Source organism: Homo sapiens, chromosome 3 (assembly GCF_000001405.40).
Source record: "Homo sapiens chromosome 3, GRCh38.p14 Primary Assembly".
Taxonomy (NCBI): Eukaryota; Metazoa; Chordata; class Mammalia; order Primates; family Hominidae; genus Homo; species Homo sapiens.
In genome coordinates this window covers 186,455,860-186,483,481 of record NC_000003.12, presented here as the reverse complement: position 1 = coordinate 186,483,481, position 27,622 = coordinate 186,455,860, and the positions used below count along the sequence as shown (strand labels likewise).

Below are 27,622 nucleotides of genomic sequence, written 5' to 3'. Positions count from 1 at the left end.
GTTATGAGCAGCAAGGACAATGACAGATTTCTACAAACTTCATACAATTTCTGAAATATTTATATTAATAACATTGACCCATACAAATATAACACAGGGAAGGTTAAGCATCTCTTTATGTAACAATGCTTTTCATGCAATTCAACATACCAAATAAACCTAATTGTTTTTTAACTTTGCTGTTTTTAGAAAGTGAAAGAACAAATTTTTTGAGATTTTGCAGGGGCTCCCTGAGAAATCTCAAGGTCAGTTCAAGATCAAGATTTCATTTAGGATTTTATTTTGGAAAGGCCAAATTGTCAAAAATATCAAGAGGTTTGAACAGTTAACTAAATAGAACTCTAGGCCACTGTGAAACAATACTTAGTTACCAGCTTAACCAAAGTGATAGTAAAAGAATTCAAAAGTAAATATATGTAGAAACAAAATTGCTAAAAAAAAAAAGGCTTAGCACTTTTACTGAAGCCCATTTTTTAAACACTTTATAAATCTGTTTACTCTTACCCAGTTTTGATTGCACAAGATAAGATTTCTTTTCCAATATCCCTTTCTAAAATTTACTTTTATTGAGGGAAAATATACATATATTACTTACTATATTTACCATCTTAAATGTACAGTTCAGTGGTAATAAGTACATTTATATATTTTTTAATATATATATAATTTTTTTGCCTTTCACCTCCTCCTCCCCCTCCCCTTCCCAGCCTTTGATAACTACCAGTCTACTCTCTATCTTCATGAAATACATGTTTTCAGCTCCTACATATGAATGAGAACATGAAATATTTATCTTTCTGTGCTTAGCTTATTTCACCTAACATAATGGTTTATAGTTCCATCTGTGTTGCTGCAAATGACAGGATCTTATTTTTTTATGGCTGAATAATATTCCACTGTGTATATATACCACATTTTCTTTGTTCATTCATCCACTGATGGGCACTTTGACTGATTATATATTCTGGCTATTGTGAATAGTGCTGCAATAAACATGAGAGTACACATATATCTCTTGGACGATTCCCTTGCTTTTGGTTATATACCCGATAGTGGGATGGCTGGGTCATATAGTAATTCTATTTTTAGTTTTTTTAGGAGCCTTTATACTGTTCTCCATTGTGGTTGTACTAGGAATTTGTATTCCTACTAACAATGTATGAGGGTTTCCCTTTTCCATGGAATTATGAGCATCTCCTCATAGTATCCTCACTGGCATCTGTTAATTTCCTGTCTTTTTGATACAAGCCATTTCAAGTGGAATGAGATGATATCTTGTTGTTATTTTTATTTGCATTTCTCTGATGATTAGTGATGTTGAATTGAGCATTTCTTTTCATATAGCTGTTGGCTACTTGTATGTCTTCTTTTGAAAAATGTCTGTTCACTGCAAAGCAAAGGTTGCATGACCTGAAATCACACCACTACACTCCACTTTGGGGAACAGAGCACAACTCTGTCTCACCACCTCCCCTGCAAAAAGAAAATGTTTGTTCAGATCTTTTGCCCATTCTTTAATCAGATACTTTGTGTTTTGCTATTGAGTTGTTTGAGCTCCTTATATATTCTGGTTACTAATCCCTTGCAGATGGATAGTTTGCAAATATTTTCTCCCATTTTGTGTGTTCCTTTTTCTTTGTTGATTGTTTCCTTTGTTGTGCAGAAGCTTATTAGCTTGATATAATCGCAGTTGTCTATTTTTGTTTTAGTTCCCTTCGCTTTTGAGGTCTTACACAGGAAATCTTTGCCCTGACCGAGGTCCTGGAGCATTTCCCCTATGTTTTCTTCTAGTAGTTTCATAGTTTCAGGTCTTAGATTTAAGTCTTTAATTCATTTTGATTTGCTCACGTGAGGGACAGGAGTTTATAGTCATGTTTCTGCATATAATTATCCAGTTTTCCCAGTACCATTTATTGAAAAGACTGTCCTTTCCCTACTGTATGTTCTTGGTGACTTTGTCAAAGATGACTTGGTTTTAAATGTGTGGATTTATATCAGGTTTCTCTATTCTGTTCCATTGGTCTGTGTGTCTATTTTTATGCCAGTCTATTTTGGTTACTATGGCTTTGTAGTAAAATTTGAAGTCAGATAGTGTGGCACCTCCAGCTTCGTTCTTTTTGCTCAGAATTGCTTTGGCTATTTGAGGTCTTTTGTAGTTTCATATAAATTTTAGGATTTTTTTTTCTATTTCTGTGAATATGTCATTGTTTTATTTTGTTTTATTTTATTTATTTATTTATTTATTTATTTATTTATTTATTTATTTATTTATTGAGACAGAGTCTTGCTCTGCCGCCCAGGCTGGAGTGCAGTGGCGCTATCTCGGCTCACTGCAAGCTCCACCTCCCAGGTTCACGCCATTCTCCTGCCTCAGCCTCCCCAGTAGCTGAGACTACAGGCGCCTGCCACCACACCTGGCTAATTTTTATTGTATTTTCAGTAGAGACGGGGTTTCACCGTGTTAGCCAGGATGGTCTCGATCTCCTGACCTCATGATCCACCCGCCTCGGCCTCCCAAAGTGCTAGGATTACAGGCATGAGCCACCACGCCCGACCTATTTTATTTTATCTTTAAAAAAAATTGAAAACATTTTTATGGGTACATAGTAGGCATATAACATTAGTATTTTGATAGGGATTGCATTAAATCTGTAAATTGCTTTGAGTATTGTCATTCTAACAATATTAATTTTTCTGATCCATGAGTATAAAATATCTTTCATTTTTTGGTGTCTTCTGCCATTTCTTTCATCAGAGTTTTATAGTTTTCCTTATACAGATCTTTCGCTTCTTTGGTTAAAAGGATTCCTAGATATTTTATATTTTTTGTAGCTATTGTAAATGGGATGGCTTTCTTGAGTTCTTTTTCAAATTGTTTGCTATTGGGTATATAAATGCTACTGATTTTTGTATGTATTTGTATTTTTTTGTTTGGTCTTCTTTTTTTTTTTTTTTTTTTAGACACTGTCTCGTTCTGTCACCCAGGCTAGAGTGTAGTGGCACAATCATGGCTCACCGCAGTCTTGAGCTCCTGGGCTCAAGCAACCCTCCCAACCTCAGCCTCACAAGTTAGGTGGGACTATAGGTGCACGCCACCACACATGGTTAATTTTTAAATTTTTTGGTTGAGACTGGGTTTTGCCATATTGCCCAGGCTGGCATCAAACTCCTGGGCTCAAGCAATCCACTCACCTTGTACTCTCAAAGTGCTGGAATTACAAACGTGAGCCACTACGCTCAGTTTGTATGTTGATTTTGTATCCTGAAACTTTACTGAATTTGTTTATTAGTTTTATCAGTGTTTTAGTGGAGTCTTTCAATTTTTCTAGGTCCAAGGTTACGTCATCTGCAAACAAGGCTAATTTGACTTCTTTCTTTCCAATTTGGATGCCCTTTGTTTGTTTGTCTTGCCTAATTGCTCTGGCCCAATATTCCTTTTACAATTTTTTATATCTATTTCATTTTGTTCTATGTTTTCCTCTTTCTTATTCTGGAACAGCCAGTCATTTCACTTTAAGACAGTTATTTTTATTTTTCCCATACAAAAACACATTCTTCCTGCTTTGCAAATTGTGCTTGCAAGTCATTTCCCTTTATCTTTATTAGTTCTAGTAGCTTTATTTACATATGTTGATTAAAATTTTTAACCATAAGTAACCTCTTTTTTTGGTAACAGAAAAAACTAGGTTATAGACAATTGTGAGTTGTCTGTCAAGTACCAACATTCTGTAGCAGATCAGCAAATTTTATGAATATACCATCTCACAATTTTTATAGGTATGTGCTTCCTCGTAATACAATTGTTTTAATGTGGCAAAAAGAATGTTTAGTAACAGACCTAAATATATGTAGCCTCTCTATATGATATAAAAATAAGAAGCCAAAAGTATATAAAATTAAACTTATGCTTAAAAATAAATTTTCAGTGGTTTATCTGACTTAGAAATAATCTAGATAGTTAATGAATATGTATTACTTAGCATAATTTTAAGATTGCAAGTTACCAAAAAGATTGTGGAAAGCATTTTTAGGCAGATATTATAAAACATAATTATTGTCAAAAAGTTCATTTATAAAATTTTGATTCCACTCACATGAATTTAATACATGTGATAACTCAGAAGACAGCTGTTTTATTCAATCAACAATTTTAAACTGGTTTTATCTAACAAATATTTCCCAAAGTCACATGAACTTAAAAAAAATTGGGGTTAATTCCTATATTTCTGAGAGCTTTATAAATATTTAATTGATATAAGCAATTTGTCCCTAAGCCTGTCAGAATAGAGCTTCTTTATAGGGTTTTATAAATTAATTGGGTAATACCATCAGAAGATAGGAAAGTATCACATATACATAACATACATATGTACATACATAAACATACAGATAGATGCAAATGGAGACCTTATAGCTTCCATTTTAAAATTGTAGCCATGAGTCAGGTAAACACAGTAATACAGAACTCTGGTTTATATGAAATGGTTGGCTCTCGTCTTTACTGCACTTTAATTTTTTTATCCAAATTGTGTTTTTGGTGAATGGAACAAGTTGCTACCTGACCAATGTGAGAGCAAAAATATTTTTTACCAATATTATGGAGGACATTTTTAAGATATTGTAGTTGCTTTTGGAGGCTCTTGAGTCCCATAGAGTCTCCAACGGGGCTCCAGTGAGTGTAGGTAGTTGAGAGCCTGGAGTGGGAAGGGAAAAGTCTGGCAGGGCTGAACAAAAATGTGGAGGAGGTGGGGGTTTAAAGGAGGGCATATCAAAAATGGAAGGAGGAATGGAGGCAAAAGGAAGAGAGAGATCTTAGAGATGCCACTTTAGGGAAGTCCCAAATTATCCTTTGTAAGATCATATCAACAAGAAGGGAAGCAGACAGAGTTAGTGCCTAGGTGGTGGAGCACATAGTCAGCAGGGGTTTCAGAAGGAGGTTGGGGTGAGGTTCAGTCAACTGAGAAGCTGCCATGTTCATAACTCATGATACCTCACAAACAATGGAGCCTGGCACTCTAATCCCAACTCTATGTCTTAAAACAGGAAAGCCTGGGAATCTAACTCAGCCTCTTTCTTACAGAGAAACCTGAGATTCCAACCCAGCCTTTTGTTTGCCTGGGATTATAGCCCAGTTCTTACAAGCAGAGAAGCCTAGGACACTAACCCAGCTTCAAGAGTATACTCAGAATCTCAAGAATCACAATCTGTGCTGCCCATTCTTCAACAGACTGTCATCTGGAGGCCTGGATTGGATCAGGAGTCGGGCTCACCAATGGAGCCCCAATCAGTCAGTCAGGAGTGAAGATGAAAGCTTCAAAGGTAGGCACCTGGGGTCCTGGGTGAGAGGCCCAGGGATCCAATGATGACTCTCATCCTGTCTGAGTCGTGACACCATACCTGTTAAGGAAAAAATTATTCTGATGCTTGTTCAGACTTGAATACAGTCCTGCAAAGAAGACTGTATTCAAGACTATTCCAATAGGTGTGTAGCAGTAGGAGGGACTCAGGAAAGAAGCACACAGAAAGTTGAGCCCAGTCGAGAAGAAGGCTCAGAGGAGCCCAACTAAACCTTTGTCAAGGAGATAGTCTTTGTCGGTGCCTGTGCCTTTTAGTGCTTGGGTGGTTTGGATTGCAAAGCCAGATTCTGAACAACTGCTGAAGTGTTTTCGTGAAAAGAAAATTTAATTTATGCCAAAAAAAAATTAGTAGGAGACTCACTCTGTCTCCTGCTCACTTTTATAGTATCTCATGTGTAGGCATGGGGGACCTGAGTGGGTTATAGACTCAGGGATTCTCTCTGCCATCGTTATTGCAAGGGCAGGGAGAACAGTGCTGAGATGTAGAGGTATCAAGTCTTATAGCTGCAAAGATCTTAGTATAGTGGTTCTCAAACTTTAATGTACATAGAAATGCTAGGGGCATGTGTCAAAGAAAAGTGCTGAGATATAGAGGCATCAAGTCTTAACAGCTGCAAAGACCTTAGTACAGTGGTTCTCAAACTTCAGTGCACATTAGAAATGTCAGGGGTGTGTGTCAAAGATGCAAATTCCCAGGCCATATTCAGACCCACCGAATTAGAATTTCTGTGGAGACCAGGAGTCTGCGTTTCAACACCCTCCCGTCAAAATGTTGCCAATGCAAGTAGTCCCTCCAGCAGCACTTTGAAAAACACTCCCTCTCCTTACTCCCACCCTCTTCCTACATCTTCTCTCCACGATTCATAACCCAGAGTCCCACAATCTGTGTTGGAACTGGTTCAAGGCAGCCCATGCCTTCCGTGGGCAGCTTTTACGGTTAGAGTGTCTCTTCTCCTCTTCCCACAAGGTTAAAAGGTATCTCCCCACTACTTACTCATGCTGCCGACCTTCATAGAACCGGTCCATCTTGGGCCTTTAAGTGCTCAACACCAAGATCACTTCTGTAACCAGTCTTCCCTAGAACCCTTGGTTACAAACAGAGTCCCAGGAATGATTCTAACCCCATTTTACTGCTTCTTCCCCCTTTGCTGAGCGTGACTCACACCAGCTCACAAGTAGTCTTCTATCACCCAGGCTTCTACAGGTCTTGCTCCTCTCCTGCCTGGCTCCTCCATGCAAGGCAGGAAGGCCTGTGAGGTCAGGATGCTGCCATAGCTGCTGCTGCTGATCTCCACAGTGAAAAGCTGTGGCGGTGCCCCCCAGAGCTGCTGCCCTGAGGGACCAGACCAACTGGGTCTTTCTGCAGTGCTTAGTTGTCCAGTACCTGGCTTACTGCTCTTCAGAGCTGTGGGAGGCTCTGTGCCATGCAGTCATCTGAACCCCCAAGCATCCCTGCAGGCTTCTCCACATCCACAGGGCCCTTGAGAAAAACGGCTCCTTCAGCTTCTGCTTGCAGCCTCACTCTGCAAAGGGCTCAGTCAGATGCCCATCCTCAGGGCTGGGCCAGGGTCCAGGAATTGGCACTTCTTATTCTCCCAACCCAGTCCCTTGTGAAGCACATACTTTGTGCTTTTTTGTATAGGAAAACCAGAAAATTGATGTAGGGGATTTACCCTATTACTCAGTTATGCATGCCCAGACATGTTAAGTCCAGCATGGGGCCCCATCACATGCCTGACCTAGTCCCACAAGCAGGGGTGGCTTCATGGGAATGTAGCCTGTGCCATCACTTAGGCCCACCCTCACAAGAGGCCCTGTGCTTGTTTTAACACTCTGCTGTCACTGCTGTGAATTTGCTTATCTTATCGTTTTTATCTGACTCTTGTGTTTTGTAAATGAAGTCAGATAGGACGGTGTGTGGGGGCAGAGGAGATGCCAGATGGCAGTGAGATAGGCTGAGTCCACTGCCACAGTGAGCAGGGGCACATGCATGCCAAGTGGTTGGCCTGGCAGCCTGCAGCAGGACCCAGGCCAAGATCGAAAACAATGACAGTCCAGTAGTAGCAGAGCAACAGTGGTGGCCCACACGGCCACTGAGAGAGAGGGGGGACTCTGCGTGAGAGTGGTGGCAGGACCACTGGTGGCAGCCAGATTGCCTACCTGTCCCCAGAAACCTTCTATCTTAGTTCATTAGTGCTGTTCCAGCAAAATAGGTGAGACTGGGTAAATCATGAAGGACAGAAATTTATTTCTTACAGTTCCAGAGGCTGGGATGTTCAAGATCAAAACGCTAGCATTTGGTGTCTAGTGAGGACCTTCTTGCTTTGTTCTCACACATGGCAGATGGGTTAAAAGGACAAAAGGGAGGAACACTGTGTCCTCATGGGGAGAAAGAGAGGAAGAGCAAAAGGGCCGAACAGCTCCCTGGAACCTCTTTTATAATGTTGGTAATTCCATTCACAAGAGATCTGCCCTCACGCCTTAATCACCTCCTAAAGGCCCCACATCTAAATACTATTGCATTGGGGGTTAAGTTTTAACATACATTTTGAAGGGGACACAAATATTCAAACCCTAGCACCATCCCTGCACCATCAGCACAAATATTAATGTGGCCTGAATGCCATCCCAGTTGATGCCAGAGCTCAGACAGTAAACTTTGTCTGTAAATTATTACAAAATAAAAGCATATATATTGCAATAAAGCATCCCAAAGAGTTATTCCTTTTTTTTTTTTTTTTTCCTTGAGATGGAGTCTCACTCTGTTGCCAGGCTGGAGTGCAGTGGCGCAATCTCGGCTCACTGCAACCTCCGCCTCCTGGGTTCAAGCAATTCTTCTGCCTCAGCCTCCTGAGTAGCTGGGATTACAGGCACGTGCCACCACACCCAGATAATTTTTGTACTTTTAGTAGAGATGGGGTTTCACCGTGTTGGCCAGGCTAGTCTCAATCTCTTGACCTCGTCCTCCCAAAGTGTTGGGATTACAGGCGTGAGCCACTGCGCCCGGCCAGAAGTTATTCTTCAATGAGATTAGACTCTGGTTTTGAAAACTGCTGCAACAGTGCAAAGAAAATACCCACAGCCTTGGAATAGAAATTAAATTTAAATATTATTGCATTCAATGGAAAAGAACACAATTTTCATACAAAGTGTTAGGTGAACCAATTTTTAACATAACGAGGACAATTTTATAACTCATTTCCTTTGTAATTGAAGATGCGGTAATAGAATGCATAAGCAGAAGCTCTGCATTATATAAAACCATGAAGCCACTTTTGGTTTCTTATATGACTTTCACAAGTTACAGAAAATATTAGATGAAAATTTTAAATGCCATTGTATAAAATTACTTTAAAATTAAATTCAGACTATATGAAACTGATTTATATGAAGAGTGAAATCTTTCTAGAAAAATTGTTTCATGAGAATCACCAGCTCTAGAGATGCTAAAATTTATATATTTCAAAATAATTTACCAGAAATTTATCTGATAAACGTATCTGTTGCCATAGTCTGTAGAAACTCTTAATAGCTCAGTAACAGTTGCATCATCAGACTCTTCTCAAAATTAAAAAGAATCAATTATCAACTTCCAGTCTTGCATTTGCCAAGAGCAACTCACATTGCCTTCAATAATATTAATGGAAAATAAATTGCTAAAAGTATAAATGAGTTTGCAGAAAAATGAGCCAGAAAAATCTTACAGTCATCAGTCATATATTAATAAAATATTATTATTTATTGTTTTATATAAAATTATGATACTAGGCCAGGCGCGGTGGTGCACGCCCGTAATCCCAGCACTTTGAGAGGCTGAGGTGGGTGGATCACCTGAGATTAGGAGTTCAAGACCAGCCTGGGCAACATGGTGAAACCCTGCCTCTACTAAAAATACAAAAATTAGCTGGGCATGGTGGCGCACGTCTGTAATCCCAGCTACTCCGGAGGCTGAAGCAGGAGAATCACTTGAACCCAGGAGGTGGAGGTTGCAATGAACCAAGATCATGCCACTGCACTCCAGCCTGGGAGACAAAGCCAGACTCTGTCTCAAAAAATGTAAATATAAACAAATAAATAAATAATACAATTATGACACTAAAAGTTATTTTGTAATCTGTACATTTATGTTGCTATTCACATATTGCTATTTATTACTCCTATTATGTTTTATAAGTAAAAAAACATAATATCAGTGCTACCTGATGCAGAAGAACAAAGTATCTGCAGTAGTTTGCCACGGCTGGGGCCTTTTGCTTCTTCTCCTTTCTCTCTCCCCCTTTCCCACTTTCATCAACCCAGATATGCACAATTCCTCTTAGAAGCTTGATCTTCAATCGTCTTCTCCCTATTAGGCATTCTGCTCAGGATACCTGTATTCAGGAATAACTCTGGGTAAAATGCTTGATGCAGGCAGAGATCGCTTTGGGCCACTCTCTCTCTTCCTGCTTCCTTACTTGTTTTCAACATCCCAAGGTCATAGGGCAGGCAGAAGAGACTGTTGACATCTCCTGTGCCTCCTTGGTGGAGACCCACCTGGGTCTTCTCCGAGCTAGGGTACCAGTTAACCACACTGGCAGCTTGGCAGCAGCAGGAAGGAAAAAGGCAAGTCAAATGCTGAGGCCCTCAAGATTTAATTTCCTTCCTGGAGGAACTCCCTTCAGTCCAATAATATGCAGTAGACGTGGCTTTGGAAAGAGCATCTTATCTCTCTTATTGGATACCTGACAAGTTGGCTATGTACCTTACTCAGGTAACAAGAGTTACAGAAAGATTAGATCTTGGGAGTATAAATAGACCCGGAGGCAGCAGAGAATAAAATTTAATTTCCTGTTCTTTGGACATTATGGCATCACTGCTTCCAAAGATAAACCATTACATGTGAGTCCTTGTTTCCAGCCCAACCTCTGACTCTCCCTTCCAGGCAAGTGATCCTATACTTCTAAAATGTGGTTCATCTGTTTCGTGCCTACAGGGCCTGAGGTTCCTTGGCTGGAGCTAAGGAACCCTCCAGCCTTCATACTACCTATAGCTCTGCTTCCTGCCTGCATGAAGTCTCAGGACATTTGAGCCCCTGGTTCTTTACTGAATTCAGAACCACAACTTTGCCTTATCCTTTGGCTTCCATGAATTTCTTGGTTCTTAACTGCCTGTCTGGTTCCTGGCCCATGACCCCTGTCCAGGCCGAAGCCCCGTCTCATTCTAACACAAGCTTGCTTCACTAGTCCTTGTCCATCTCTAACATCCTCCATCATCTTTGATGGTGGTATGACAAAATATCCCCTGTTCCTTCCTCATCACTTTACTCACAAACTGACAATTATCTCGGTTGTACTAGTCATCGTAATGATTCACTGGGACAATCCCTTAGAAAATAGACTCTTTTGAGAATTCCAGGAAAAGAGCTTCTGCAAGTCATCTGGACGTTGCCTTTGCCATTTTCACATAAACAGTAGATCCTCCTTTCTTGTAGCCAAACCAACCACTGTGCTTTTGCAAACATTGCACGTTGCGAACAGATGGGCTTTTTGTAAATCATGCTATATTGTAAGTGATCCGGAACAACCCTTTATCAAAGGGAATCCTGAGAAAAATCTTACAAAATATAAAATCTTACTTTTACTAATTTAATTGCTCCCCAAAGCTGAGTTTCCATGTTTGGGGTGTTCTTTAAGGGGCACGTGGCTTCTCTGCCATCTCACTGCTCCCACCACTGCTCTGCGTGTTCATTATAAATGGATCTCATCCCAGCTGCATGCCTTATCTATCTCACTTACATGTTTACATCTCTCACAAGAGAACCGGTGTTTTGGATGTTATGTTGGAGGACTGGAGACCCTTTCTGAAATACAGTTTTTAAAAACATGCAGATTAACTGTGATTGCAGATGCAAGCTTTTACTGGTGAAAATGGTTTGTTATGATTGTCGCCTGGCATCAGAAAAATAGAAGTTGTGAGAGTTACAGGTGACATCTTCACAGAGAAAACGCAGCAGCTGTTCTGCTTTCAAGAACGGTCCTCTTGGAGTTAGTATATGTACTTTTTGAAAAAAAAATCTAGGTCTTAAGCATGCATGGAGGCCGCCTATTTGACAATCACCTTTCTGCCAAGCTCCAGCCTTTGCTGTCTCTATCAGCAGCAGGTGGCACATGGGGAGGAGGGGGCTTGGCTCTCATCAAGCTGTCTCCATCTGCGCAGCCACAGAGGGCTCTGTCTGCTCTCAGCCCTGCCCTCTTTGGGGGCTTTGGACTTAGAAGACCCCTGGAGGAGTCACAGACTGTACCTCTAGCCAAAAAGGATTATTTCCCCAGCGTCTTTCCACTTAACTCAAATAACACCACTTCTCAAAGATGGCCCTTTCTCTTTCTTCTCCCTTAGCTCAGGGGCTTGGAGGGGAGAATTAATTTGCCCAAGAGACACAGCTAGTGCCAGACAGAGCCAGATTCCAGTTATGATCTGCTTCCTTTTGAACTATATTTGACATTCAGGGCAAACAGTGATCTTTGGAGTGAGTACAGGGGTGGTGGGAGCAAGGGATGCCCTCCATTTGCAGAGAATCACTGCAGGTCTGTTTATTTGAAGAATTCCAGGAAAGTTGCTGAGGGAGGATAAACTGCATCTCTTCTTCTGTACCCACCTGGTTCTGCATTTCTTTCCTGTCTGAAGGACCATCAGAGCCACAGGGCTTGGACTCCTAAAACGAACAGTGAGAGCTTCCGTTCCTAGATTTTTTGAGAAACCACAGCGGAATTCTCCCATAGGTTATAATTTTCAAAACCAAAGAGCAGACCTCTTCTATAACCCCTAACCCCAGCATATACACAGCTCTATTTTCCTTCCAGCTCAGACAGTGTGACCACTTCAGGTCATACTAAGGGAGGGAAGAGCTGGTCTACACTGGTGCTGGGAAGCCTCAATGGTGCTGTTCTCCCTCTAAAAGGGAAGAGGGAGGGTCTGCAGAAATTCAAGCCAGCAGCTGCTTTCTAGTGGGGCAGGACTTATCCAGGTTCTACCAACTTATTAGCGTCAAATGGGGAGGATAATGACAATAGCTGCCATATACTGATCCCTTACTGTAAATTAATACCGAAGCTAAACAGCTTTTCCCAGATTATCTCATTTAATTCTCATGGCAATCCTGTGAAGAAGATACTATTATTATGTCTTACTTTTTAACGGTGGAAAAGCCAAAAAATAAAAACATATCATCAGGGACAAAAAGTATATCAATTGATGTTTCAAAATATTATCTCTGGCTATACATAAGAAGGAAGAACAAATTCTATTCATGGTCAGCATAGTATGCCCCCATCTATCCATCCATCCATCCATCCGTCCGTCCATCTTCCAGGACTCCACAGGCCTCATGTTGCTGTTCTGCAATGCTCACCCCATCCATTGCTGCTGCTGCTAAGTTCTAGCATTTCAAGTCAATGGACATGATTGAGTGATCCAGAGACAAACCTCACATTTGTCCAATGGCCAGGCCAATTTATGGTACAATAGTTCTAGGAGAGGGCCAAGGACAGAGCCACAGTGGCCAGCTGCTCCAGAAATTGCACCTTGTGGCCTGGAGCAGCGGGAATTCACCACAGCTGGGAAAGTCATCCCTCCTGCCCTCCCTCACACAAAAGAGCCTCCTAAGTCCTGGCCTTTGTGTGTGTGATGAACTGATTTAGAAATTATTCTTCTCTTTATCTTCATCTTCCCCTAAATCTCTGTTGGGAATAGAATTGTGGTAGGTTTTAGATAACAGCCTTACAGCCTTAATTTTATTTATCTGACAAGTTTGACTCTGGGGACACCAGCTGTAAGCTTTTGCAAAATAGCATGGAAATTATTAACTTTTCAGCCAAGGGCTCTTATACCCTCATAGCAGAACCGCCAGAGCTGATGGTAGCAATACTCAGGACTTTTGGAAAAAAATTTGTGTGACTCCTGTGCAAGAGGCTGTGAGGGAAAACTATGAGCTTGAAATCAAATTTCCTGGAGGGATTTTCTCAGCTGGCTTTGTAGCCCTATTCACACCCCGAAGCAGCCACAAGCAGTGAGTTAGCTCAGAGACAAACACCTCTTGTGATTGGTGTGGGAAACGTGTTTGCTCCACTATTTATTAGACTTTCTATTCCCTGCTCTGGGGGTGGCAGACCCAGAGCAGAAGAAGCAACTGGAGAGGAGACTAAAAAAAGAAAGTAAAATAAAGAATAAAGTAAAAGAGAGAGGGATAAAAATAGAAATAAGCAAGCAGAGCTGCCTGCTTCCTGGGCAGGTCGAAGTGCCTAGATACAGATTAATGAGCCATTATGACAGGATGCTAAAGGGGCCTGGGCTGAAGATGCTCTGATGTGGACTGGACAGGGCAGGGTTATTTAGCGATGGAGGGAAGCTGGGGCAGGTGCTCGGAGAAGGCAGGAGGGGGTGAAGAGAACAGTCAGGCTGGTGGGACCTGGTATCCAGAGAAATGGGGCCCGGCAAGATGGGGAAAGGAGGAGCAGTGAGTTTGCTGCATCAGAAGGACCTGGTAAGCAGTGATAAGTGTCCCAATAGGTGACAGAAAGGGTAGAGTCCCACAGTAGGTCTTAGAGAAGGCAAATGGATAGGACAGCAGAGGACCAGAGAGAGAATTGACCAGGCTAGCGACACTGAGCAGTTTCCCAGAAGGCAGGCAAGAGAGGCTTAGACACAGGGCACAATGCAACGATGAAGCCAGAATCACTCAAGCTCATTCTTGCTGATAAAATTTTTAAAAATAATGGTAGAATCAGAAGATTTGTCAGAGCCAGAGCAAAAAGGTCAGAGTGAGACCGGCAGCCAAAGTGTAAATGATGGGACAGCATGGCTGCCCTGGAGCTCCTCAACCCAGCTTCCCAGACTGAGGTTGTTGGCCTAGAGTCTGGGACCAGAGCTGAGCTTGCAGCAGGGAGGGAAGATGGTGGGCAGATTATCAACCTGGGTTAAAGGGGCTTCAGGCTTGTTACCTTGCATAATTTGAAGACTTTGAGTACAAAACTGCTACTGCTTAGAGCAGTGGTTCTCAGCCCTCATTATACATTAGAATCACCTGGGAAGACATAAAATATACTGATACCTAGGAAATCCCCTTCTTCTACCCCCACATCAATTAGATGAAAATCTACAATACTGGCATTGAGATAATTCCATGCCAGCAAAGGTTGCAAACCACTGACTTACAGGCAAAAGCTGCACTATCTGTATCCGTAAAAGGTGTGCTATGCAATACGGCAACCACTGCCGATATGTGGCTACTGAGCATTTCAGATGAGGCTAGTTGGAATTGAAATGTGCTGTAAGCCTAAAACACACACTGAATTTTGAAGACCTAGTCTGAATAAATAACCCCAAAATACCTCATTAATAATGAGATACTTGTTAAAATGATATTTTGATATATTGGGTTAAATAAGTTATATTATTCATTTCACCTCCTTGTTTTCACTGCTTCTAATGTGGCTTCTAGAAAATTTACCCTTATATATGTTGTTTGCATTATATTTATTTTGAATAGTGCTGCACCAGAGCTTCTTTCAATTCCGATTCACAAACTGTACAACTGAAATTGCTTTTCCAACATCGCTGCTGCAGATGGTAATGCATTGGGAAGAAAATTTTCTTTACCCAAATTTATCACAGTTTGTCATTATGTATTTATTTGTGTGTTTGTTTTTTGAGTGTCTCACTTCCTCAGTGTTTACCTCTCTACCTCAGCATCTAGCTCAGTGTTGGACATAGTAACAATTCAACAAATATTTGTCAAATGAATGGATTGGGGAATGAGTAAACAATTAGATGAATTAAAATATTTCTTTTTCTGCTGCTGTAATCCCTAGACACACAGGTCAATAGGAAACCTGTCGCCTGCTCATACTAGTGCTGCAAAAAGGGGGCCATTGTGCATAGAAAGGAAGGGCTGTAGCAGAGAGGTGAGGTCCAAAGGCTTTGGAAGCAGATGGACTGGGGCCTAAATCCAGGCTCAGCCAATGCAACTCACTTAGCCTCTTGGCCTCTGTGATCTCTCTTATCTGTGCCATGGAGATAATACTACCTTCAGGGTTGTTGTAAAAGGCTTAGCACAGTGCCTAACACTTTGTGGAAGTGTTGGTGTAAGAGAGAAAAAGAACGGGACTGATCTCTGGGTTGCAATCTGTTTTGCACAGGAGGTTGCACCAGTACTGGGCCTCCTGGGGGAGCAAATTTGCTGCCCTTACCTGAGCTGGGTATACTTAGTTCTTCAGAGTCTGACCCATATTGTGTCCATGGGCAGTTTATCACAATGGAGGAATTTCTGGAGGAATGAAGATTTCTGGGGACGTGTTACCTAAAAAGATGTTTGCTTTGGATAACAGCTAAGGTCTTCGGTTATTCTCAGACTGCATTTGTCTTCTTCCTACATCAGCTGAGAAGATTTTGGATAAGGTCTCAGACTCAGAGCAGAACCTTTGGAGGTGGCAGTGTCTTTTACATCCATATCTTGATTGGCATGAAAGGAATTAATTGCCTTCTCCACCTTGCTTATGTAGCCCATGACATAATCCACATGAAAAGAGAGGGGATGTTAGGAAACATGAGACTTGACTGGTGTGTTCCAAAATGTTCTAGTCTGGACAAACAGTATCATAAGAGTGGACCTACTTATCAGGCTCACATCCAAGAAGGGAGCAAGGAGAGAACTGTCAAGAAAAAGAAAGCAGTTCATTCTGTTCCTTGGGGGCTACTTAAAATTAATATTCAAGCTAAATCTATACAGTTAAAGAAAATGCTATTGGTATGGACACGTTTTAGTAATTTATATGTCTCTTCAAAATGGGTAGAAACATATCTATGTTCCAAGGCTGACACAAGGGTGACCAGCAAAAGACCTCCAGAAAATCTCATTACTAGGTTTAAAATACTCTACAATCACAGGGACATGTATTTGAACATGTATTTGCTAGATTGGTTCTTAAAGTTGTAAAGCCTACAGAATATTTAGTGTTGTCAATGCCCACATTGTCTGCAGTCAACAGAGGTAATAAAATATCAAAATGGGATTAAAAATAATAAGCTGGCCAAGGTTTGTGCAGAAAATGGATTGAAGAGGACAGATGTACTGCCCATGGCTCTGATTAGACAACAAACAAATTCCCAAAACTTAACTCTTATGAAATATTAGCAGATGAGACTCTGGTTTCTTCCTCAGCAGCTAAGGCCAGTAGCACATTCCTAAGCCAGATAACATTGTGTTATATTGCAGGACACTAACAAGGGTGTCAGAAATCATTCACAGGCTCAAGACATTTCATCCACCCACCCGCACAGATAGGACCATAATGTAAGGCTCCCTGCCTGGTCAACTTTCATCAGCAACAATCACTGCTTAAAACTCCTCGGAAAGGTCCTTAACAATAGCTGTTGTCAAAGAATGTACTGTGTGGTGCCAAGGACTTTGTCTTGGATTCATGCCTCCCACTAAAAAAACACATGGAACCCAACACTGAATTACTAATCTTTATTTTTCTCATTGATACAGGCATTGATGACTCACTTCTCACTTGAGTCCAGACCCATCTGGATTGCCTGCAAAAAGGTCTCGGCAGTGACCTGAAAACATATGTAAATTACCCAACCAATTCTAACCAGGACCTGCTGTCTGGCAATTCATCCCCATGTTCTAGACTTGTCCAACAAGCACCCAAGCAACTTTGAGTTCCATCCTGCAACTCTCAGTCAGGCTCAAGAAAAGCCCCAATTTTATCTGGGCATGGTGACACATGACTGTAATCCCAGCTACTCGGGAGGCTGAGGCAGTTGAATCGCTTGAACCCAGGAAGCGAAGGCTGCAGTGAGCCGAGATCATGCCACTGCACTCCAGCCTGGGCAACACAGCGAGACTGTCTCAAAATAAAATTAAAATTAAATTTTTTAAAAAGGCCCCAATGATGACACTTAGCCTCTTTGACTCTATTTGACTCTTTCTAGCTTGACTCTAGTTTGTCAGCCATAAGTGCAGACCTACATTTGCTTTATGCATTAAGATTGGCCACTTCTGAATGGAGACCAGAATCTATATATTTTTAAAGGCAGAATCATTGTGTTGATTCTGTATCAGTCAGGAGAGTTAGACTGTACTGTGGTAACAAACAACCATCAGATCTCAGGTGACTTAAACCGCTAAGGTTGATGTCTTGCTCCCCTATATGCTCATGCAGGGTTAGTAGGAGCTCTGCTTTATATCATCCTCCCTTGTCTACAGTAGTTGAACCATTGCATGTAGAGGCAAACACTCCTAACTCATGTCAAGAGCATGAAGAAAATTCTGGACTCCTGGGGTCAAGCTCCCCATGAAACAGATTCTGCGACAGGTGTTTGTGTGTGGGAAATTTGTTTGCCTGCTCTTGGGAACAACACCTGTAAGGGAGTGAGGGAGCCGGAATGAGCAGAGAGAAGAGTTGAGCTGCAATGCAGAAGCAACAGAGGCCTCAGCCAATTCTACCAGGGTGCTCTGGAGCTGAGATGGGCCTTCTGAATTGTCCCAAATTGAGGCAAGGGTCCTCAGCCTTTTGGGCCAGAAGCTCCCTTCAGTGAGGGGTAGTTCCTAGAAGGCTCAGATGTGAACAGTCAGCAGCCAACATTCATGGCAGCCAAGGAAACGGGGGCTTTGGCCCTAAAAGGAGAGATCTGGGTGATACACCAGCACATCCTCTACAGTCTGTATCTTGCACTGATCAAATCTACTGGCTTTGTATAAGTCCAATCCACCTGGGAACAGCTCTTCTGGAATTCTGGTTGGTTTCTTCACCACTTACGAGAAAAAGACTAGAGAGATGATATATTCCCTGAGTGACTGCAGTTGGCCTCAAGGTCACTCATTTTATACTCTTCTTACTGTTGCCTTTGCTAGTCAAGGTGCCTAACCTGGTAGGATGACCCAAACCATCATCCCCAAGTTTCTGGTCATTTTGCTGTTCTCAAGCCATGGCAGCTACACTCACCAATTTACCACCAAAAGTAGGCAGGAGAGCACCAAGAAAAGCCCCTAACAGATCACCAGAGTGTCAGCCTTATTCCACCCTGCCTTCACTGTGGAACAGCAGCCCTACTCCCCTGACAGTCAGGGTCAATCACCCCAGCTAGCATGGGGGCCTTGCCTTCTCATCTTTTGGCACGAGGAGCCCAAAGTGCCTAGGCAGCAGCCAAGACTTAAATTCTAATGGGACACTTACCATGGCCCCTGGTGCAAGCGTTTCCCTCTGGGAACCAGGACCTCTGGACCCACAGAGCCTGATGTTGCAGCAATGACAAGCATTAATTGCCAAGTGTGACACTAGGAATGCTGGTATGCAGGACCTTTCCCAATCTTACTCCTTGGTTCCTGGGCCCATGTATTCTACCTACTGGGGACACCAACTCAGATAAAAGTCTGTGATTTAGGGTGTTAACCACATCCTAAAGGAAGGGACCCTATCTTCACAGAGTGAAGTGCTTCTTCCATGGTAGGTGCTCCCTAGTGGGCACTAACATGCATTGCAAAGGTCTTGACTCCCTATGCCCGCTCCCATAGGTCCATCTACATGCTTTGTCCCCAGTCCCCAGTCTTACATTCTTTCCCTTTTCAGGCCCCTGGCCAACCAGCCTAGTCATTTTTCATAGCCCTGAGTTATATATTCCTACTTCAGGCCACTTCTCTTCCCACAGAAAGTGAATGACCTTGTGCTCAGTCTAATGAGAGGATTCCTCTTTACCATTGTTTTTTGGGACCACCCTGAATGGGACTACAGTAATACACCAGCACATCCTCTACAGTCCATATCTTGCACTGATCAAATCTACTGGCTTTGTATAAGTCCAATCCACCTGGGAACAGCTCTTCTGGAATTCTGGTTGGTTTCTTCACCACTTACAAGATAGACTAGAGGAATGGTGTCTAGCAGTTCATTTTTGGCTAGCACCCCCAAACCAAGCTTATACTTCCTTGAACCGGTCTCAGTCCTTTTTTTTCCCCCTCCATCAGCTTGGCTGTAAGGCATACTCCACATGGCCACAAGTTTTGTCTAAGGGAGAGACATTGGTACAACAGTGATGGATGCCCTGGGGTCTGGGCCATCTATTAGCATAGCTTACATTCACCCTCTGGCCCTGCTCACACCTAATCCCAGATGTACTGTTCCCAGCTTGCCAACTTTATGGCTTGGTAGGTTAGATGCTACTTAGCTCGTGCTGGGTAGCTTTGGCCACATGTCACTTGTCAGATGCTCTGTCTCTATTAGGGAAGTGGCGTGCCAGGAGCTCTTTTCAAACAGTGTTAAGGTCTCCTCTGCAGATGGCATGGCCTTGCTCCGGGACTCTGGGGTCTACATTATGATTCTCTTGTTGGAGCTTGCCATAAGCTCCACGTGGTGAATTCTTCCACCACAGATAACTAATATCAATAGGGTCTCCTCAATCATTTGGCCCAAGCAGTATGGCATTTCATCTTACACCTGCTGTGACTCAGAGCTGACAGCCTTCCATGTTACCTGGTAAATTGGTCAGAGCAATATCACTAAGTACTGCCTCTAGAACTTGAAGAGGCCTCCCAGGCATGGGGCTTCTTTCTTAATGGTAAGAGGTGAGATGCAGTAACTTGTCGTTTATCTCTGGGGGATGTTGCTGCATGTCCAAAACCTCTGGATCCCTAAATATTTTACTTATATGACTGTGATACATCTTTTTCAGGCATTACATCAGGTGGCACATGATGTTGACATGTGTCATTACTAGAGATGTTAACTCTGACCACTTGGTAGAGACAGTATCTTCAGGTTTCTCTTCTGTGAAGTTTGAGGTTTCCCCCAGTAATTAATAAGTATCAGATGAAGAGGTGCATTGATACTGGTACAAATATGCCCTTTATCATCCTACTTTACCCACTGATTTTCGTATTCATTGGTGATTGTTGCCAATAAAAATTACTACCATGGTATTTGCCAGATGATGATTTTTCCATTTCCACCTTTCCATGTGTATTAATTGAAATCTTCTATAAGGAAGAACTGTTCCTTCTCCCCCATTTCTTTATTTAATCAATTATTTTATTTATATCACTAAACAGAAGTGAATGAATACAATTCATTACCATCATTGCTCAAACGATCCCAGATTTGGCCACTGGGAGCTTTTTCATGGTGCTCCCATCATTTTTTGAGCACTTCTCTAAAAGTAAACACCACTTATTGCAATTGGTTAAGACCACTGTTTCTTTCCATTGCAACTTCTCCATCATAGTCTTGCTGATGCCAGGTAGTGTTGTAGTGTCCATGGACATTTTGGGTATATTGGTTAAGGGGAGGTTGAATTGGCACATATTAATTTACATCCATTGGGATATAATTATGTGTTTGGAAATCACTGTCACTTTCACGTATAAAGGAATTGTTATTGGCTGTCTGGTATAGGTTTTGGTTTGTTGTTGTTGTTATTGTTATTCTGAGATGGAGTCTCATTCTCTTGCCCAGGCTGGAGTGCAGTGGCACAATCTCAGCTCACTGCAACCTCTGACTCCTGGGTTGAAGTGATTCTCCTGTCTCAGCCTCCCTACTAGCTGGGATTACAGGCGTAAGCCACTGCGCCCAGCTAAGTTTTGTATTTTTAGTAGAGATGGGGTTTTACTATGTTGGCCAGGCTGATCTCGAACTCCTGAACTCAGGTGATCTGCCCACTTTGGCCTCCCAAAGTGCTGGGATTATAGGTGTGAGCCAACGTGCTCCGCTGGCTGTCTGGTATAGGAATGGCTTCCAGGAATACTTCTGTTCAAAACGTGTAGGACCCAAATTTCATTTTAACATGAATGTGTCTTATGGCACCCAGGTAATATTTGCAGGTAACATTTGGTCTACCATTATAAATCTGTTCAAGCCCTGACACATAGATACAACAATCTTTGAGAAAACGTAGGCCGGGCGCGGTGGCTCACGCCTGTAATCCCAGCACTTTGGGAGGCCAAGGTGGGTCGATCATGAGGTCAGGAGTTCAAGACCAGCCTGGCCAACATAGTGAAACCCCGTCTGTACTAAAAATACAAAAATTAGCCGGTGTGATTAGCCAGGTGTGGTGGCACGTACCTGTAGTCCCAGCTACTCGAAAGGCTGAAGCAGGAGAATCACTTGAACCCAGGAGGCAGAGGTTGGAGTGAGCTGAAGCCACACCACTGCACTCCAGCCTGGGTGGCAGAGCGAGACTCCATCTCAAAAAATAAAAAATAAAATAAAATAAAAATAAATTTTAAAAATGTATTTTTGAAGATTCAGAAGAGAAATTCAAAGACAAATAAGTAGCAAGGTGTTTACTTACAAGTTTATAAAGCTCAACAAGCCATTTGAATTCAATTTGGAATGACATTTTTGGAACATTTCAAGAAAAGAAATAAGAGTACAGACTCCCAATTTTGGCATTTACGATGGGTATAATCTTTTGTCATCTTTAAGTGTATTTATTCAGAAACTCAGAGAAATTTCAGAGAAAAAGTTAATGGAGCAAAAAAGAAAAGAAATGAGATACATAGAAATTATTCAGACATCAAGGATAGAATTACAATAAAATACTGTTTAATCGCATCAAAAGCAGTAATTCAGTAAAAGGAAGAGATAACTTTCCAATAGAATAATAGTGAATAGACTCCCAGATCATTTAATAGTCCAGTTAATGAAGAGAAGTGAATCATATGAACACACTGGAGAAAGATTTACATTTCCTACTGTCTCAATATGAAACTGGCTCTTCTGAGGATAACACACAACTCCTCATGTATCTCCACAATGAGAACGGGGATGACTAACTGGTCAATGAATCAATGAGTCATTCTCAAGTCAAAGAGTGTTTAAGGAGATAGCTGCAGAAGGCTTGCAGTCATACAGGAAAGATATTCTGTTAAGTTTTCCCCAAATTTACAACAATCCTAAACATTTAAATGGCATGTTTAATAATGAGTTGTGAAGCTAAAAGAAACTTTTGAAAAAATCAATGAGAAAATATTAATAATTTGAACCAAACATGCTAGACGTCAGACTGAATTGTCTTCTCTCTGCAGAACTATTACAAAACTGTTGCCATTTGAAGAAGTGATCTAGAGAGTGTGTGACCCAGAAAAGCAGAAAAATATATTTTAGTCATATGTCAGGCAGTTAATAAAACATTTTTCTGAATTTTGTGATATTCATGGTACTTATCAGCATTTTTAAGATTTAAAATTTGTTGTGATTTCTTTAATCATTCTAAATAAATGGTGACTTTCAAATCTCACTTTGAGCTAGGTGTGGTGACGTGCACCTGTTAGTCCCAGCTACTTGGGAGGCTGAGGCGGGAGGATTGCTTGGGTCCAGGAACTCAAGGTTGCAGTAAGCTATGATCATACCATTGCAGTCCACTCTGGGTGACAGAGCGAGACCTCCACTGTAAAAAAAATTTTGTAAGCCTCACTTTGTATTCATAATTTGATATTCTTTTTCTTTAAAAAGGTCCCCAAATTGTACAACTTTCAGCCCTCATGAAATCAGAATTTGCCTCTTCCTTGAGATCTCAGAAAGCACAAGTTCCCAAAAGCATGCCCCACCCTTTGGAAAGGGCTTCCCCCGACCTGGGGATCAGAGTCATGACTGTGCCTCCAGTGCATGCAGGCACATCACATGCAGGAAGCTGGTAGGGTCATGTCTTTCCCTCTTTCCCACAGGTGAGAGGAAATCCCAGCAAAACAGCTTGCAAATCTCCCACTGTACAGTCAGGACCTCTACCCCTCACTTCCCATTCATTAGACATAAAATGATTGCCGTATTTATGTGTGTGTGTCCAACAGATCTGCAAGAAGTGTGACTCTCTGCTGCCAGTTTGATTCTCCAAATGGAAACTGGTGGTGGTGGCAGCCGGGGGTGAGAGAAGAGGGTGATGACAAGAAATTGTATCAAGCAGAAGGGCTTATTAATATCAATATTTCTCACCATGATAAATGAGTGTCCTGGGGGCTCTGAGGGTCTGACAGTTTTCATTTGCTCCAGATGAAGTCCTCACAGGGCCTCTGCTTTTCCAGCCTGGGATAGATTTGCTGAAATCACAAACCCACAGCAGTCTCAAGACCATGGGTTCCTATAAAATCACATGTAATACACAGGATTAAACAAAAACCACCCCAGTATGGTGTTTCCATCTTTCTAGCTCATCATTCTGTCTTTGGTTAGAGTGAAGCCTCATTTTTCTCATCTTAACTCCTGTCCTGTTTCCTTTCCTAGAGTGCCCTTCTCCCACCTCTACCTTCCCCAACCATAACCTCCTTCAAGAACCGGTTCAGATAAAGCCTACTCAGGTAACACCCCTATAGCCCCAGCTCTCTCCGTGTGTCATGCTTGTCTTTGTCTTTTTAGGCCACTATCATGAAATACCATAGATTTTTCACAGTTTCACATTTATTTTTCACAGTTCTGGAGGCTGGAACATCAAAGATCAAGGCACCAGCAAATTTAGAGTCTGGTGAGACCCACTTTCTCGTTCATAGATGGCACCTTTTTTTGCTGCATTCTCACATGGTGAACTGGGCAAATGGGCTCCCTTGGGCCTCTTTCTAAGGGCACTAATCCCATTCAGGAGCTCTCCAGTCTCATGACCTAATTACCTCCCCAAAAGATCTAACCTCCTAATCCCATCACCTTGGGAGCTAGGATTTTAACATGAATTTTGAGAGAACATGATCATTTAGACCATAACATTGCTCTCTATTCCTCTACAAAAGGGCAACTCTTGCTCTATGCCTCAAACTTAGCTATTTTTGTACCTAATTTATCGCTTCAGGACTGAAAAATTTTTAAGGTCAGGACCCAAGCCTGAGTCACCACTGTGTCCCCACTGGGATCAGCACAGTGTCTGTGCTTGATAAATAAATGTTAAATGATTGGTTCCATTGACCGTGAGCCTTAATTTTTCTAGTGTGTACAAAGCACTCAGCCCAGGGACTGAGACATAGCAGATGCTCAGTAAATGGTAGCAGTTTTTGTTTCTATAACAGCTTTCAATGCAGCTCTAAGATGAGCTAGATCCAGAAGGGAAGGCACTACTGAGTTGCAGTGAGGAGTATTCTGAAGCTGGGCTGCCTCCCTTTAAATCCTGCTCTGCTGCTTACTGGCTATGTTTCCTTGGGCAAGTTATAACCTATTTGCACTATAGTTTCCTCCTCTGTGAATAGGGGCAATAATTCTGAGCTTTTGTGGGGATTAAATGACTTAGCACATACAAAACACATGGAAGAGGATCTGGCAGCCTGTTTAAGTGCTATGTCAGCACTAATTATTACTGTTACTGCTACGATTGTTATCTAGTGGCTCAGGACTGGTGCCATCCATTTCTCAAAATCTCCCAGAATCCAGCCCCTCTTGGATTGGTGCATGCAGGACTGTGGCCTAATTCCAGGCTATGACATTGGGATTTAATAAAAAAAATATATTTTTCCTCTTCCCACCCCTCCCCGTTTTCTGGCACATAGCTCATAAACCCCTTGTGACAAGTGATAAGTGTCATTCTGCATGCGAGTGAGATGACCAAGGGCTGGAGGCTCCTGGACAGCCTTGGGGTGAGGACTGGTTACCAGGGGAACTCACCATGTGGTTAGAGAGTTGGAACTTTCAGTCCCACTACACCCTCCCCCGCCCACCGCCTCAGCAACCAACCTCCAGGGAGGGGAAAGGGGGCAGAAGTTTGAGTTAATAACTAATAGCTAAAGATGTAAACAATAAGCCTCCATAAAACCCCAAAAGGACTGGACTGGTTTCTGAGAGCTTCCAGGTTGTTGAGCACGTGGAGGTTCTGGGAGGGTCCACACCCAGAGAAGGCATGGAAGCTGACCCCTTCCCCATACCTTGCTCTTTGCATCTCTTCCATTTGGCTGTTCCCGAGTTGTATACTTTGTAATAAGTGGGATTTCCACCCAACAACAATTCAGCCACACTGCTTCACACATCTAGAATCCATCCAAAATTGTAAAGGCTTTGTGGCACTACAGTGAAACAGGCAAGAACATCTTCCAAACATGTAAGTAGAGTGTTTCCCTGAGTTCTGTGAGCCATTCTAGCAAACGATTAAACCCAATGAGGCAGCTGCGAGAACCTTCCGTGTAGCCAGGTCAGAGAGAAGTTGCGGGTAACCTGGGGACCTACTACTCGCGATTGATGTCTGAAGTGAGAATTGGTCTTGTGGGACTGGGATCTTAACCTGTGGGGTCTGCACTAACTCTAGCTACTGTCAGAATTGAATTAAATTGTAATTCAATTACAATTAAATCTACAGAGAATTAGAGAATTGCTTGATGTGGGGGAAAACCCCACACATTTTGGTGACCAAAAATGTTGTGAGAGTACAAAAGAGAGCATAAAGCAGTTTTTTGTTTTGTTGTTTTGTTTTGTTTTGTTTTGTTTTCCTATAGACAGACTATGTCTCTTCTCCCGGGCCCCTCAAAAGGTGCTGCCTCCCCTTCTTCTCTCTTTAGCCAGCACAAGAGCACACAGGAGGCCGGCATAATCACGAATTGCAGCTGTCTGAAGGGCAGTCACATAAAAGAGGAGAAGCTTCACCTTTGCTTCACAAGGCACATCTTGAACCAGGGATGGAAATTACAGAGAGGCCAAAACCAGCTCGGTGTGAGCAGGACTGGTAACAGACTGGCCAAGCAACAGAAGGGGCTGCCCTGTGAAGAAGCAAGCTCTCTGTCAATGGGAGGTGCAAGCTGAGCCTGCACTACCTTTTGTCACGGTTGCTATGGAAAAGATTAAGAGCCCGGTATTAACTATCTATTGCTACATAACAGAATACCACACAACTTAAAAGCTTAAACAACACATTTTTATCATGTCACAATGTTTGGGGTCAGGGATTCTGGAGTGGCTTAGCTGGGTGGGGTCTCCGGGTTGGTCTCTCGTGAGGCTCCAGTCTAGATGTTGGCTGGGGATGCAGTCGTCTGTCAGCTTGGCGAGGGCTGGATGATCTGCTTCCGGAATGGCCCACTCACATGGCTGTGGGAAACAGGCCTCAGCCCCTCTCCATGTGGCTTCTCCATAGGGCTGCTTGAGTGTCTGCATGACATGGCAGCTGGCTCCCTGAAGAGCACGTGATCCGAAAGAGAGAGCAAGACAGAAGCGCAGTGTCTTCAACAGCATATCTTTGAAAGTCATATTCCACCGTTTTCACTACATTCTATTGATAAGTGAGTCACTCAGAATAGCCTACATTCAAGAGGAGAGGAATGAGGCTGCATTGAAGGGAGCACACTGCAAAGAATGTGTGGATTTATTTTAAAACCACTATAAGCCCCTTCAGTGCTGAGTTATTGTGATGCCTTATGCATTCCGAAGCCAAACGTGGATGTGATTTTAATTAGCAGCGATGCTAAGCTCTTTTGCTAATGCTACTAAAAAACACAGGAGTCTCTGCATTGTTCCATCCCCAGTAGGTAGCTTAAGATGCTCTATTTAATTCAGTACAATACAGATTTATTAACCACTCTCTCTGTCTGTAGGGCCTGGCTGTTCCCACCTCAAACCACTTCTTAGCTTCATTTGTTCTCATAACAACAGGATAGCCCTTCCTCCTCTGGGGGCCTGGGCATCAGCAAGTCGGATGGCAGTGGAAGGTGGAGAAATGGAATCCTGCTGGGGGCTCAGGAGGCCTGCCCCCTGATGCTGCCGTGCACTGCAGATGTCCTTGATGAAGAGAATGAATGGAAGGTATTGGAAGGGAGCTGAAGTTCAACAAATGACCACCTAATGAAAAAGTCAGCAGTGGATTGCTTGAGATCTTGAGCACCCTGTACTGTTATTAGTATTTATAAACATGTTTGAAAGATGTTCCCTTCCTTCACTGTAGTGCCAGAAAGCCTTTAACATATTGGGTCCGGTCTAGATTTGTAAGGAAGTATGGCTGAATTGTTATCGGGTGGATACAGTTTACATGTTTAAAGGTTAGTTTTGTTTAATAGTCAGATTTCTATAGCCCAGGGGACGAGGTGGTGGCTACAGTGCAGAATGGTCTCAGGGGGACATGTATGTATAATGCAATGGCATCTGTTTATCTTACAGCTGTCTTTCTCAATGGCAAAAGGGCATACTGCTGTTATTGTCAGTGAGGGGTCAGTAGGTAAGAGAGAGAGAAATGGTAACAGAAAGTGCTTCCTTAAGTGAAATTAGGGGAGTGTGTATGTGTGTGTGTGTGTGTGTGTGTGTGTGTGTGTGTGTCTTTGGGGTGGGGGAGTGGTAAATGCATAT

The 27,622-nt window shown here is 42.4% G+C and overlaps 2 long non-coding RNA genes across 2 annotated transcripts in view, besides 1 other annotated feature; one reads left to right on the top strand and one right to left on the bottom strand.

The window, feature by feature from the left end:
• The window catches only part of LINC02052 (long intergenic non-protein coding RNA 2052), a 38,681-nt gene that overhangs the window by 10,180 nt on the left and 879 nt on the right, over positions 1-27,622 (top strand). Inside the window, exons 3-6 of the long non-coding RNA NR_033844.1 lie at positions 5,081-5,319; positions 25,852-26,141; positions 26,878-27,318; positions 27,437-27,494. This is a non-coding gene — a long non-coding RNA (long intergenic non-protein coding RNA 2052). The remainder of the gene's footprint in view (positions 1-5,080; positions 5,320-25,851; positions 26,142-26,877; positions 27,319-27,436; positions 27,495-27,622) is intronic.
• Positions 3,507-6,999, bottom strand: LINC02051 (long intergenic non-protein coding RNA 2051). Its single transcript, XR_001741057.3, has 2 exons — positions 6,352-6,999; positions 3,507-5,397 (listed from the first exon to the last, which is right to left on the bottom strand). It is a non-coding gene; the product is annotated as a long intergenic non-protein coding RNA 2051 (long non-coding RNA).
• Positions 6,314-7,086: an enhancer, noted in NCBI's record as "H3K4me1 hESC enhancer chr3:186194185-186194957 (GRCh37/hg19 assembly coordinates)". NCBI's record gives its function as "activates a minimal SCP1, AML or CMV promoter by ChIP-STARR-seq in primed H9 embryonic stem cells {active_cell/tissue: H9 hESC(primed)}" and the evidence as "EXISTENCE:reporter gene assay evidence [ECO:0000049][PMID:30033119]".